Raw genomic sequence first — 13,374 nt, forward strand, 5'->3', positions numbered from 1 at the left:
AGCTGGTTATTCACAGGACACTATTACAGGTCATGAGGCCATCAGGATGTATTCATGGGGAAAGATCAACTGTCTCCCAGAGTGGGCCAAGGAGACATCATTATTTAAGTTAAATGCTCAGGTGCTTGAGTTTAACTTCCTTAAGTGTCAATGTACACTTAGCATATTACTATGTAACATATTTCTACTTACATTATTTTATTGTGATTAACCAAAGGAAAAAAAAACAAACAAAAAAACTTTATGACTCTTGGAATTCACAACGCTTCTGTACACATAAATGTGTGTGTAGATAGATATTAGACACTTTTTAATATAATCCTGACTGCATGTATATACTAAACACTGTTTCATATAATGAGTATAATAAAATATGTTGGTTCTATAAATGTTTATTCAAGAAGAATGTCAGAAAATAGGTGTATTAATTTTTTAAAGCAGGGACTGTATGAGGATGTTTATACAGTCTTATCCCAGTGATGGAAGCAACCTTAAGTCCTATGAGTCCAACATCAGGACAAATCTAGCAAGTCTTTGATGAGAATATAAGGCTTCAAAATATCAGTTTCATCTGTGCAACAGCTTTATATATAAATTCAGCCTTAGCAAAAGAAAACAAATTTGGCTAATGCTATCTAGTCTCCCTGTATCCTTTTGTCTCAAGGATACCGAGAGCTTTCAAAGAGCCAGTGAACTTACCCAGTAAGGGATTTCTGGCATATTTCCAACTGGTCCAGCAAGTGTGGTAACAGCTGCCCCAGGGTCTCATCTCCAACACAGCACTGGACTACACTGGGCACTTCATGTGCCCGAGTCATGATCTTCACCCAAGATTTATCTATGTTAGAAAACCGCTTGGCTTCCTATGAGAACAAGGTAACAAAGCACACTTAGATTTGGACACATCTGTGATCCCAAAGACAGTATCTCACATTCCTCCAGCTGAGGCTAGAGCTTTAACCAGTCCAGATATCCAAGCAATATATGCCTAATGTCACACACATTTTATTGAAGTTCTTATTGGGCTTTCTGTGCCATATCATCCCCTGTATTAAGTAAGCATCCTTAGCTCAACCTTGGTACTCCCATTATGTTAAGTTACAACAAGAAATGAATACAAAAGTAATAATACAATTCAAGGAAATATGAAAAGAAAGTACACACATTTCTTTTCACAGGTTATCTCTAAATGAAGTACATTTCCTATTTTTATATTTTCTCTATTGAGCACTGGATTGTTTATGTAGAAAAAATATTTAAAAATAAAGATACAAAATTAATTCCAGTATAACTGGAATATTGTAAAAAAATTTAATGGAAAATGCACAGATTATCTTGAGAGGGCAGGAATCATATAAATTTTCTTCCTTTTTTAAGACAGGTCTCACTCTGTTGTCCAGGCCAGAGTGCAGGTGCTCGGTCACAGCTCACTGCAGCCTTGATTTCCTGGGCTCAAGTGATTCTCCTACCTCAGCCTCTCCAGCATCTGGGACTACAGGCATGTGCCACCATGCCTAGCTAAATTTTTTTTATTTTTTGTAGAAACTGGGTTTCATCATGTTGCCCAGGCTGGTCTTGAACTCCTGGGCTCAAGCAGTCTTCCCACCTCAGCCTCCCAAAGTGCTGGGATTACAAGCATGAGCCACTGCACCCGGCCCCAAATTTTCATTTTCTTCTTTAAAGCTTTCTGTATGTCACCAATGAGTATATACCATCAAATATGAAAGGAAGAAACAACACCTAGCACCTTAAATATTCTACATGAAAATTTCTAAGTCCAATTTTAGATTCTTCTTCATCCATTAAAAAGAAAAACATGGGAATCCTGGGCAAGATGGCCGAATAGGAATAGTTCCACCCTGCAGCTCCCAGCAAGATCAACACAGAAGGCAGATTATTTCTGCATTTCCAGCTGAGGTACCTGGCTCATCTCATTGGGACTGGTCAGACAGTGGGTGCAGCCCACGGAGGGCAAGTAGAAGCGGGGTGGGGCGTTGCCTCACCTGAGAAGTGAAAAGGTTTGGGGAACTCTCCCCCGAGCCAAGGGAAGCCATGAGGTACCATGCTGTGAGGGACACTGCTATCTGGCCCAGATACTATGCTTTCCCCATCTGCAGACCAGGAGATTCCCTCAGGTGCCTACCCCACAAGGGCCTGGGTTTCAAGCACAAAATTCGGTGGCCGTTTGGGTAGACACTGAGCTAGCTGCAGTTTTTTTTGTTTTTTGTTTCTGTGATGGAGTTTCGCTCTTTTTGCCCAGGCTGGAGTGCAACGGTGTGATCTCAGCTCACTGCAACCTCCGCCTCCCAGGTTCAAGCGATTCTCCTGCCTCAGCCTCCTGAGAAGCTGGGATTACAGGCATGTGCCACCATGCCTGGCTAATTTTGTATTTTTAGTAGAGATGGGGTTTCTCCATGTTGGTCAGGCTGGTCTCGAACTCCCGACCTCAGGTAATCTGCCCACCTCAGCCTCCCAAATTGCTGGGATTACAGGCGTGAGCCACCACGCCCAGCCAGTTTATTTTTTTTTTCGTACCCTAGTGGCACCTGGGATGCCACTGAGGCAGAACCATTCACTCCCCTGGAAAGGGGGCTGAAGCCAGGTAGCCAGGTGGTCTTGCTCAGTGGATCCCATCCCCACAGAACCCAGCAAGCTAAGATCCACTGGCTTGAAATTCTCACTGGCAGCACAGCAGTCTGAAGTCGACCGGGAATGCTCCAGCTTGGTGGGGGGAGGGGGGTCCACCATTACTGAGGCTTGAGTAGGCGGTTTTTCCCTCACAGTGTTAACAAAGCCGCAAAGAAGTTCAGACTGGGCAGAGCCCACTGCAGCACCACAAAGCTGCTGTAGCCAGACTGCCTCTCTAGATTCCTCCTCTCTGTGCAGGGCATCTCTGAAAAAAAGGCAGCAGCCTCAGTCAAGGCTTATAGATAAAACTCTCATCTCCCTGGGACAGAGCGCCTGGGGGAAGGGGCAGCTGTGGGGTACAGCGTCAGAAGACTTAAACATTCCTGCCTGCCAGCTCTGAAGAGAGCAGCAGATCTCCCAGCACAGGGCTCGAGCTCTGCTAAGGGACAGACTGCCTCCTCAAGTGGGTCCCTGACCCCGTGCTTCCTGACAGGGAGACACTTCCCAGCAGGGGCCAACAGACACCTCATACAGGAGAGCTTCAGCTGACATCTGGCAGGTGCCCCTCTCAGACAAAGCTTCCAGAGGAAGGAGCAGGCAGCAATCTTTGCTGTTCTGCAGCCTCCGCTGGTGATACCCAGGCAAACAGGGTCTGGATTGGAACCCCAGCAAACTCCAGAAGACCTGCAGAAGACGGGCCTGTCTGTTAGAGGAACACTAACAAACAGGAAGCAATAGCATCACCATCAACTAAAAGGACGACCACACAAAAACTCCATCCGAAGGTCACCAACAGCAAAGACCAATGGTAGATAAATACACGAAGATGAGGAAAAACCAGCACAAAAAGACTGAAAATTCCAAAAACCAGAATGCCTCTTCTCCTCCAAAGGATAACAACTCCTCGCCAGCAAGGGAACAAAACTGGACAGAGAATGAGTTTGACGAATTGACAGAAGTAGGCTTCAGAAGGTGGGTAATAACAAACTCCTCCAAGCTAAAGGAGCATGTTCTAACCCAATATAAGGAAGCTGAGAACCTTGATAAAAGGTTAGAGAAATTGCTAACTAGAATAACCAATTTAGAGAAGAACATAAATGACCTGATGGAACTGAAAAACACAGCACAAGAATTTCGTGAAGCATACAGAAGTATCAATACCCAAATTGATCAAGCAGAAGAAAGGATATCAGAGATTGAAGATCAATGTAATGAAATAAAGCGTGAAGACAAGATTAGAGAAAAAATAATGAAAAGGAATGAACAAAGCCTCCAAGAAATATGAGACTATGTGAAAAGACCAAACCTACATTTGATCGATGTACCTAAAAGTGATGGGGAGAATGGATCCAAGTTAGAAAACACTCTTCAGGATATTATCCAGGAGAACTTCCCCAACCAAGCAAGACAGGCCAACATTCAAATTCAGGAAATACAGAGAACACCATGAAGATTCTCCTCAAGAAGAGCAACCCCAAAACACATAATCATCAGATTCACCAAGGTTGAAATGAAGGAAAAAATATTAAAGGCAGCCAGAGAGAAATGTCGGGTTACCCACAAAGGGAAGCCCATTAGACTAACAGTGGATCTCTCTGCAGAAACCCTACAAGCCATAAGAGAGTGGGGGCCAATATTCAACATTCTTAAAAGAATTTTCAGCCCAGAATTTCATATCCAGCCAAACTAAGCTTCATAAATGAAGGAGAAATAAAATCCTTTAAAGACAAGCAAGTGATGAGGGACTTTGTCAGCACCAGGCCTGCCTTACAAGAGCTCCTGAAGGAAGCACTAAATACAGAAAGGAAAAACCAGAACCAGCCACTGCAAAAACAAACCAAAATGTAAAGACCATTGATATTATGAAGAAACTGCATCAACTAATGGACAAAATAACCAGCTAGCATCATAATGACAGGATCAAATTCATACATAACAATATTAACCTTAAATGTAAACGGGGTAAATGCCCCAATTAAAAGACACAGACTGGCAAATTTAATAGAGTCAAGATCCATCAGTGTGCTGTATTCAGGAGACCCATCTCACGTGCAAAGACACACATAGGCTCAAAATAAAGGGATAGAGGAATATTTACCAAGCAAATGGAAAGCAAAGAAAAAGCAGGGGTTGCAATCCTACTCTCTGATAAGACAGACTTTAAACCAACAAAGATCAAAAAAGACAAAGAAGGGTATTACATAATGGTAAAGGGATCAACGCAATGAGAAGAGCTAACTATCCTAAATGTATATGCACCCGAAACAGGAGCACCCAGGTTCATAAAGCAAGTTCTTAGAGACCTACAAAGAGACTTAGAATCCCACACAATAATAGTGGGAGACTTTTTTTAACATGTTAAAGAAATGTTTAATTACAAAATTAAGCTTACACATAACCTAAAAATTTTCAAATGTACTGCATTTTATAGCATAAAAGTACAATCAGTAAAATGATTCACTAGTAATTTAATTACATTTAACTTAATTTTAAGTAAAATAAAAAATGCTTCTCTCTCACTATGATGCAGAATATTACTCTGAACACCTACCTCATGCATCACTCAATATGAAAAGTAAACTAACAAGAACCACTCCACATAGATTTTCATCATAAATCTTACATTTTTTTTTTTTTTTTTTTTTTGAGACGGAGTCTCGCTCTGTCGCCCAGGCTGGAGTGCAGTGGCGGGATCTCGGCTCACTGCAAGCTCCGCCTCCCGGGTTCACGCCATTCTCCTGCCTCAGCCTCCCAAGTAGCTGGGACTACAGGCGCCCGCCACTACGCCCGGCTAATTTTTTGTATTTTTAGTAGAGACGGGGTTTCACCGTTTTAGCCGGGATGGTCTCGATCTCCTGACCTCGTGATCCGCCCGCCTCGGCCTCCCAAAGTGCTGGGATTACAGGCGTGAGCCACCGCGCCCGGCCATAAATCTTACATTTTAATGCCCATACTCTTCAATAGTGGGAGACTTTAACACCCCACTCTCAATATTAGTCAGATCAATGTGACAGAAAATTAACAAGGATATTCAGGACTTGAACTCAGCTCTGGACCAAGCGGACCTAACAGACATCTACAGAACTCTCCACCCCAAATCAACAGAATATACAATCTTCTCAGCACCACATCATACTTATTCTAATATCGACCACATAATTGGAAGTAAAACACTCCTCAGCAAATGCAAAAGAATGCAAATCATAAAAAACAGTCTCTCAGACCACAGTGCAATCAAATTAGAACTCAAGATTAAGAAACTCACTCAAAATTGCACAACTACATGGAAACTGAACAACCAGCTCCTGAATGCCTACTGGGTAAATAATGAAATTAAGGCAGAAATAAATAAGTTCTTTGAAACCAATGAGAACAAAGACACAGTATACCAGAATTTCTGGGACACAGCTAAAGCACTGTTTAGAGGGAAATTTATAGCACTAACTGCCCACAGGAGAAAGTGGAAAAGATCTAAAATCAACACTCTAACATCACAATTAAAAGAACTAGAGAATCAAGAGCAAACAAATTCAAAAGCTAGCAGAAGACAAGACATAACTAAGATCAGAGCAGAACCGAAGGAGATAGAGACATGAAAAACCCTTCAAAAAAATCAATGAATCCAGGAGCTGGTTTTTTGAAAAGATCAACAAAACAGATAGACTGCTAGCCAGACTACTAAAGAAGAAAAGAGAGAAGAATCAAATAGATACAATAAAAAATGATAAAGGGGATATCGCCACTGATCCCACAGAAATACAAACTGCCATCAGAGAATACTATAAACACCTCTATACAAATAAACTAGAAAATCTAGAAGAAATGGATAAATTTCTTCTAGAAATTCTACCAGAGGTTCAAAGAGCAGCTGGTACCATTCCTCTTAAAACTATTCCGAACAATAGAAAAAGAGGGACTCCTCCCTAACTCATTTTATGAGGCCAGCATCATCCTCATACCAAAACCTGGCAGAGACACAACAAAAAAAGAAAATTTAGGCCAATATCTCTTATGAACATCAATGCAAAAATCTTCAATAAAATACAAGCAAACCGAATCAAACAGCACATTAAAAAGGTTATCCACCACAATCAAGTCAGCTTCATCCCTGGGATGTAACGCTGGTTCAACATATGCAAATAAACATAATACCTCACATAAACAGAACCAATGAAAAAACCACATGATTATCTCAATAGATGCAGAAAAGGCCTTTGATAAAATTGAACATCCTTTCATGCTAAAAACTCTCAATAAACTAAGTATTGATGAAACACAACTCAAAATAATAAGAGCGATTTATGACAAATCCACAGCCAATATCATACTGAATAGGCAAAAGCTGGAAGCATTCCTTTTGAAAACCGACACAAGACAAGGATGCCCTCTCTCACCACTCCTATCCAACATAGTATTGGTAGTTCTGGCCAGGGCAATCAGGCAAGAGAAAGAAATAAAGGGTATTCAAATAGGAAAAGAGGAAGTCAAATTATCTCTGTTTGCAGATGACATGATTGTATATCTAGAAAACCCCATTGTCTCAGCCCCAAAACTCCTTAAGCTGATAAGCAACTTCAGCAAAGTCTCAGGATACAAAATCAATGTGCAAAAATCACAAGCATTCCTACACACCAATAATAGACAAACAGAGAGCCAAATCGTTAGTGAACTCCCATTCACAATTGCTACAAAGATAATAAAATACCTAGGAATCCAATTTACAAGGGATGTGAAGGACCTCTTCAAGGAGAACTACAAACCACTGCTCAAGGAAATAACAGAGGACACAAACAAATGGAAGAACATTCCATGCTCATGGATAGGAAGAATCAATATCATAAAAATGGCTATACTGCACAAAGTAATTTATAGATTCAATGCTATTCCCATCAAGCTACCATTGACTTTCTTCAAAGAATTAGAAAAAACTACTTTAAATTTCATATGGAAACAAAAAAGAGTCCATATAGCCAAGACAATCCTAAGCAAAAAGAACAGAGCTGGAGGTATCACGCTACCTGATTTCAAACTATACTTCAAGGCTACCGTAACCAAAACAGCATGGTACTGGTACCAAAACAGATATATAGACCAAGGGAACAGAACAGAAGCTTCAGAAATAACACCACACATCTACAAACATCTGATATTCGACAAACCTGACAAAACAAGCAATAGGGAAAGGATTCCCTATTTATTAAATGATGTTGGGAAAACTGGCTAGCCATATGCAGAAAACTGAAACTGGACCCCTTCCTTACACCTTATACAAAAATTAACTCATGGTGGATTAAAGATCTAAACATAAGACGTAAAACCATAAAACCCTAGAAGATAACCTAGGCAATAACATTCAGGACATAGGCATGGGCAAAGACTTAATGACTAAAACACCAAAAGCAATTGCAACAAAAGCCAAAACAGTGTGGTGATTCCTCAAGGAGCTAGAACTAGAAATGCCACTTGACCCAGCAATCCCATTACTGTGTATATACCCAAAGGACTATAAATCAATCTACTATAAAGACATATGCACACGTATGTTTATTGCAACACTGTTCACAAAAGGAAAGACTTGGAACCAACCCAAATGCCCATCAATGTTATACTGGATAAAGAAAATGTAGCACATATACACCATGGAATACTATGCAGCCACAAAAAAGGAGGAATCCATGTCCTTTGCAGGGACATGGATGAAGCTAGAAACCATCATTCTCAGAAAACTAGCACAGGAATGGAAAACCAAACACTGCATGTTCTCACTCATAAGTGGGAGTTGAACAATGAGAACATATGGGCACAGGGAGGGGAACATCACACACTGGGGCCTGTCAGGGGGTGTGGGGCAAGGGGAGGGATAGCATTAGGAGAAATACCTAATGTAGATGACAGGTTGCTGGGTCCAGCAAACCACCATGGCACCTGTATTCCTATGTAACAAACCTGCACATTCTGCACATGTATCCCAGAACTTAAATATAATTTAAAAAAAAAATCCAAACCTCCTACTTAAAACCTTTAAGAAAAGAAGATGAAAAACATGCACAAATACAAATCAAAAATAAAGTAAAATTTTAGTGAGTGAATACATTTCACTATTGCCTCCAAAATAAATGGTCTGCAGTCTGATTTTATCTGTCATCTGTAATTAAACTGAAAACTAACCAAAAAAGAAGTTCAGAAACCTATGTGATGAAAACATTTAAAATAATCATGCTTCTAAAACTGAAATATATTGTTAAAATGTTATAATCTTGCATACGACTTAAGGTAATTGAATAAGAATCCTTGAGAATTGGTTAAAATGTTCATTTAAAAATCTCAAAATATACTCCATATATACCCAGTAAGATGATTACGATTTGATGATAAATATATACTTGACATCTTGAAAAGAAGGTCTTTTTGTTTTGGAGATTTTTTCTGCACATTTCCACCCCTCAATTTTACTGTACAGATATAATTGGGTACATTGTATAGTATGCATTACTTTAAAATGTCTGTAGTAGAAAAACTTAGCCTACCATTGTCAAGATAACTGCACCATAATTCTACACTGTTCCAAATTCTACCTTGAAATTATCTAAAGAAGCATATCAATTATGCGACCACTTATTTTTTGTTTTTTTAACCCTCTATCTCCTATCAAACCTCCACAGTTTTACAGCATTCTTACTCTGATTGTCACCCCTTTCCTTTCCACAATTCCTCACTCCCTTTGAAGAATAACAGCATTAACAGTGACAACAAAAAGATTGAAGGAAGGGGGTTCAATAGAAGTGGAATATTATTGCATTATTTAAGGGGGTAATCGCTCTGAGAGCTTTCTCTGAAAAATCTGATGAAATCATAAAGAAGATTACAAAACCTTGGGCAGCTGCTTGGCAATGTCTCCTCCCACAAAGACAGCTTCTAAATAAATCCACAGGTTTTGCACCGTCATCCAGCTCTCGATGATGTCTGTTGAGTTGGAAAGGTACTGCACCCATTTTTGAATCTGGGCTTTGAATGGCATATTGTACCTAAAATAAGAAATAGGTTTAGGGTTTGGTTTTGTTTTTGTTGTGCTGTTGTTTCAAATTAAAAAGGTTTTTAAAAATCTTAATTTTTAACCGCTTTCTTTACAACCTTAATTATGTTGCTGGCTTTTAAAGTGATGCAACCAAGTGATTAATTCATCCCCACTTACTGTTCATTGTTAGTCTAGCTTTTTCCCTTTTGATCCAGAGCATAGAGAAGGGTGGGAGATTTATAATCTAAGGAGTAGATCAGGCATTAGACTTGATTCCACCAAGCTTCCAGGGTAATATAATTACCCTCAGTGCTGCTATGGCTACGAGAATAATATTTGCCCTACTGAGCTTCTGTGCCTATTTCATGGAGTCTCTGGTTTTTCATATAATATGGAGCTTTTATAGAACCATCAGTGGGGACCAGACAACTAATTCAATCTTCAAATATGATAACACCTGGACTCTCTCCTTAGCCTCCCCTTTTCTGAGTCTCTTTCTAACTTCCCACGCACCTGTGTCCAACCCACTCATGTTTGATGTACATGTGTGCAAGATTACTGCCTCTTCCATAGTTAATCTGTCTTCCCCTTTTCCTCTTTGAGACAGACTGCCTGTGGGTGGCCTCCCAATGTCCTTTTTTCCTTCTGCTTTTCCATGTGGGCTCATAATTACCCAGCTAAATTACTGAATTTCCCAGCTTCCCTTTGCAGTAATGTGCAGTCAGAAGACTAAGTTCCACATCAACAGTGCTTAATTTAGCGGAACACTGGAATGATCTCATAGCTGAACACTGGAATCATCTCGCCAGCATTAAAAATTACTGATGCCTGCCTGGGTCCTACGTACAGAGACTCTGATTCAATGGGTCTGGGAAGTGGCCCTGGCATTGGGATTTTTTTAAGTTCCTTCAGTGTATCTGGTACGTTGCAAAGATTGAGAACAACTCTTCTACATGAAATGTGAGTAGTGGCATTGGATGTAATGGGTAGTATGGGGAATAAGGTCACACCTGGGAAAGACAGATGAGTGAGCCAGACCAAGCTTGGGTCCCTGATGATGTGGTAAAGCCCCCATTCCAACCTGAACCACCTACATTAGGAATTCTTTTATGCGTGAGCAATATAAACATCAGTGTTATATTAGCCATTTTGTATGTGGTGTTTCTGTTATTTACAGACAAACTTAATCCTAAATGATTATACAGCCTACCTTTGTGTCTCTTCTTCTCTTTCTTATCCCTTCATGGTTCTCTCTAGCCCTACATAATATGGACTTGAAGTCGTATTATTGCATAAAAGTTTAATTTCCATATTCTTAATTGTTAACCAAATTGTTTTAATATTCCATGCATCTTTCTGAATATTTGTATGCTCTTCACTAGAAATATAGGTCCATAGAAACAGAGATCTTTCCCTTATTTGTTGTTCTACCCACAGCGCCTAGAAGAGTACATCACACACATAGTAAAGGTTCAATAAATATATATTGAAAAAATACTCCTCCCAATAACTCTATCTGTAGATTAGATGCCATTGAAAAGAAAAGTTTCCCCACCCCAACCAGATAATTTTTACTTAATTTACATGAGTGTCTTTTCTATCTCCCTAGGGTATATTATTGCCTGTCTATCCTTTATTCTGGTTTGGTATGAATAGTAACCAAGTTCATTAAAACTCACTAAATCCTGAGAAGTCCAAACTCAAGATTACTAATGGTCTAACTTTATATCCCAATATTACTTTAGTGTAACAAGTAAACTGAAATAAGAGAAATTTTTTTGAAATAGTATGAAGTACACAGTATTTCCAACATTAAAAGTATTGATACACATATATATGGAGAATTGGGTGATATTTTAAAGCTAGAATAGAACAACAAATTCATATCTCAATGGTATCCACTTTCTGCACAATTACCATATATTTGAGAAGATTCTGGGGAACAAAAACATTATTTCAGAAAGAGCAAATGGAAGCAATGAAACAAGGAAATGTAAATTCATGACTGTGTGGTTTGTATGTCCAAAATGTGAGGGGTGGCCACTATGCATTATATACATGTAATGAAAGTTCACATGTGGACAGGCACAGTGGCTCATGCCTGTAATGCCAGCATTTTGGGAGGCCAAGGCGGGCAGATCACCTGAGACCAGGAGTTTGAGACCAGCCTGGCCAACATGGTGAAACCCTGTCTCTACTAAAAATACAAAAATTAGCCAGGCGTGGTGGCTGTTGCCTGTAATCCCAGTACTCAGGAAGCTGCGGCAGAATCACTTGAGCCAGGGAGGCTGAGGTTTCAGTGAGCTGAGATCACGCCATTGCACTCCAGCCTGGGTGACAAAGCAAGATTCCATCTCAAAAAAAAAAAAAAAAAAAAAAAACAAGTTCAAATGTACCCCATAAATTTGTACAAATATAAAAAATAGAGTATGTAAACAACTAAGAGTTTCTAGTCCACAGATATTGGTAAAAAAGGTTTTTCGAGTAAAATGATTATTCTGAAATTCAAAATAATGTTCCTCCTGGATTCTACAGCCTGTAGAGCTATGAGCTGTGCAGTCAGGCTTGTCAGCAGCAAGCTGAAATGTTCCCAAGAGCCGAGTGGCTAATTATACGTTGCATTATTTTGTCCAGTGGATGGTCTCAGACATACCCCACAAATAGAGGATAATGAAATAAAACCAGAGTTACACATGCTCTAACATGTGCCTGAGGCCAAAATGAAAACAAGAATAATTGAAATATAATCTCTTGATGATGTATATATAAGTGGGTACCTGAGTAAAAATATGTTTTGGATATAAAAATTAATTAATCAATGTAATTAAAACAAGTATTTTCAACATTGAGTAAACTATATGAAGGCTATTATTGTAATGGATTTTTCATTAATTTTAAATGTTTGCTATTACGGTTCTCAAATCTAAGGGAAAAGATAGATGGTTTTCCCACCTGTTGCTCAGTAGGGATCCCAGCAACATCAAGCTGTCCTCCATGTTGGCGATGATTTCCGAGGTACTGTCTCCTCTCAAGAGGAGCTCTCCACGGGTTTTAAAGCTGCCGAAGGTGAATGTTTTATTGTCCCATTCATTAATCACTTGCTTCAGCTTTTGCTCAATGTCTCTCTCTTTCACCGCACTGATACAGATGTCCTATCAAAATGGCAAGCTCTCATGTTATTGCATGAAAGTCACACGTCCTTCCTTAATAGTCTACGTGCAATACCCCATCTTCACTATTTGCTTCATATATATATAAATATATATATAAACTTTTATATTTCCAGACCTAAAATGCAATATAATAAACAGAAGGTGTATACGCAGATACTGATGCATGAAGAGAGATGGAGATAAAGATATGACTGAAAAATAGAACTTTAATTTATAAAATTTCCCAGCAAACTTGCCCAAAAGGAAAGATGACAGAAAATATATGCAAATCACTTTTAAATTTTGAAACTTTAATCACTGATTCAAAATTCAATGTATTTCTGATCTACCTCTAAAGTCAAGTGAATGCAGCATGTGAATGAACACAGGTAGCAGAAACCTGATTCTCCCATGGCTCTGTTGACTTTCCCAGTCTCCTCATGGCCTCAACCTTCTCCTAGACCATTAGTCAAGCCCTTCCTTTACCCTCATTTCTTCCCACCTATGTTCCCCCTCTGGGTGAGCTCATTTACACCCATGACTTCAATCACTTTCATATCTCCAGGCAAGACCCACATC

At 39.5% G+C, this 13,374-nt stretch overlaps 1 protein-coding gene and 1 long non-coding RNA gene across 15 annotated transcripts in view, besides 1 other annotated feature; one reads left to right on the forward strand and one right to left on the reverse strand.

Moving 5' to 3' along the window:
- The window catches only part of DNAH5 (dynein axonemal heavy chain 5), a 321,491-nt gene that overhangs the window by 159,625 nt on the left and 148,492 nt on the right, over positions 1-13,374 (reverse strand). For 12 of the 14 annotated variants that reach the window (XR_001742034.2, XR_001742035.2, XM_017009177.2 and 9 more), the window contains 3 exons: positions 12,596-12,795; positions 9,500-9,653; positions 700-863 (listed from right to left, as the gene is read on the reverse strand). Coding sequence is in view for 12 of the 14 variants with exons in the window: in XM_017009177.2 (XP_016864666.1) it covers positions 700-863; positions 9,500-9,653; positions 12,596-12,795 (518 nt within the window). In the remaining 2 variants the exon portion in view is untranslated. Of the gene's footprint in view, positions 1-699; positions 864-9,499; positions 9,654-10,853; positions 11,071-12,595; positions 12,796-13,374 lie in introns of those variants that run through there. The other 2 variants (XM_017009185.1, XM_017009186.2) reach the window with 2 other exon arrangements.
- Positions 8,915-10,114: an enhancer, noted in NCBI's record as "MED14-independent group 3 enhancer chr5:13858976-13860175 (GRCh37/hg19 assembly coordinates)". NCBI's record gives its function as "activates an origin of replication core promoter dependent on BRD2, BRD4, P300/CBP and CDK7 cofactors, and independent of MED14, by STARR-seq in HCT116 cells {active_cell/tissue: HCT116}" and the evidence as "EXISTENCE:reporter gene assay evidence [ECO:0000049][PMID:35650434]".
- Positions 10,487-13,374, forward strand: part of DNAH5-AS1 (DNAH5 antisense RNA 1) — a 40,614-nt gene continuing 37,726 nt past the window's right edge. Inside the window, exon 1 of the long non-coding RNA NR_199035.1 lies at positions 10,487-10,603. This is a non-coding gene — a long non-coding RNA (DNAH5 antisense RNA 1). The remainder of the gene's footprint in view (positions 10,604-13,374) is intronic.

Source organism: Homo sapiens, chromosome 5 (assembly GCF_000001405.40).
Source record: "Homo sapiens chromosome 5, GRCh38.p14 Primary Assembly".
Lineage (NCBI taxonomy): Eukaryota > Metazoa > Chordata > Mammalia > Primates > Hominidae > Homo > Homo sapiens.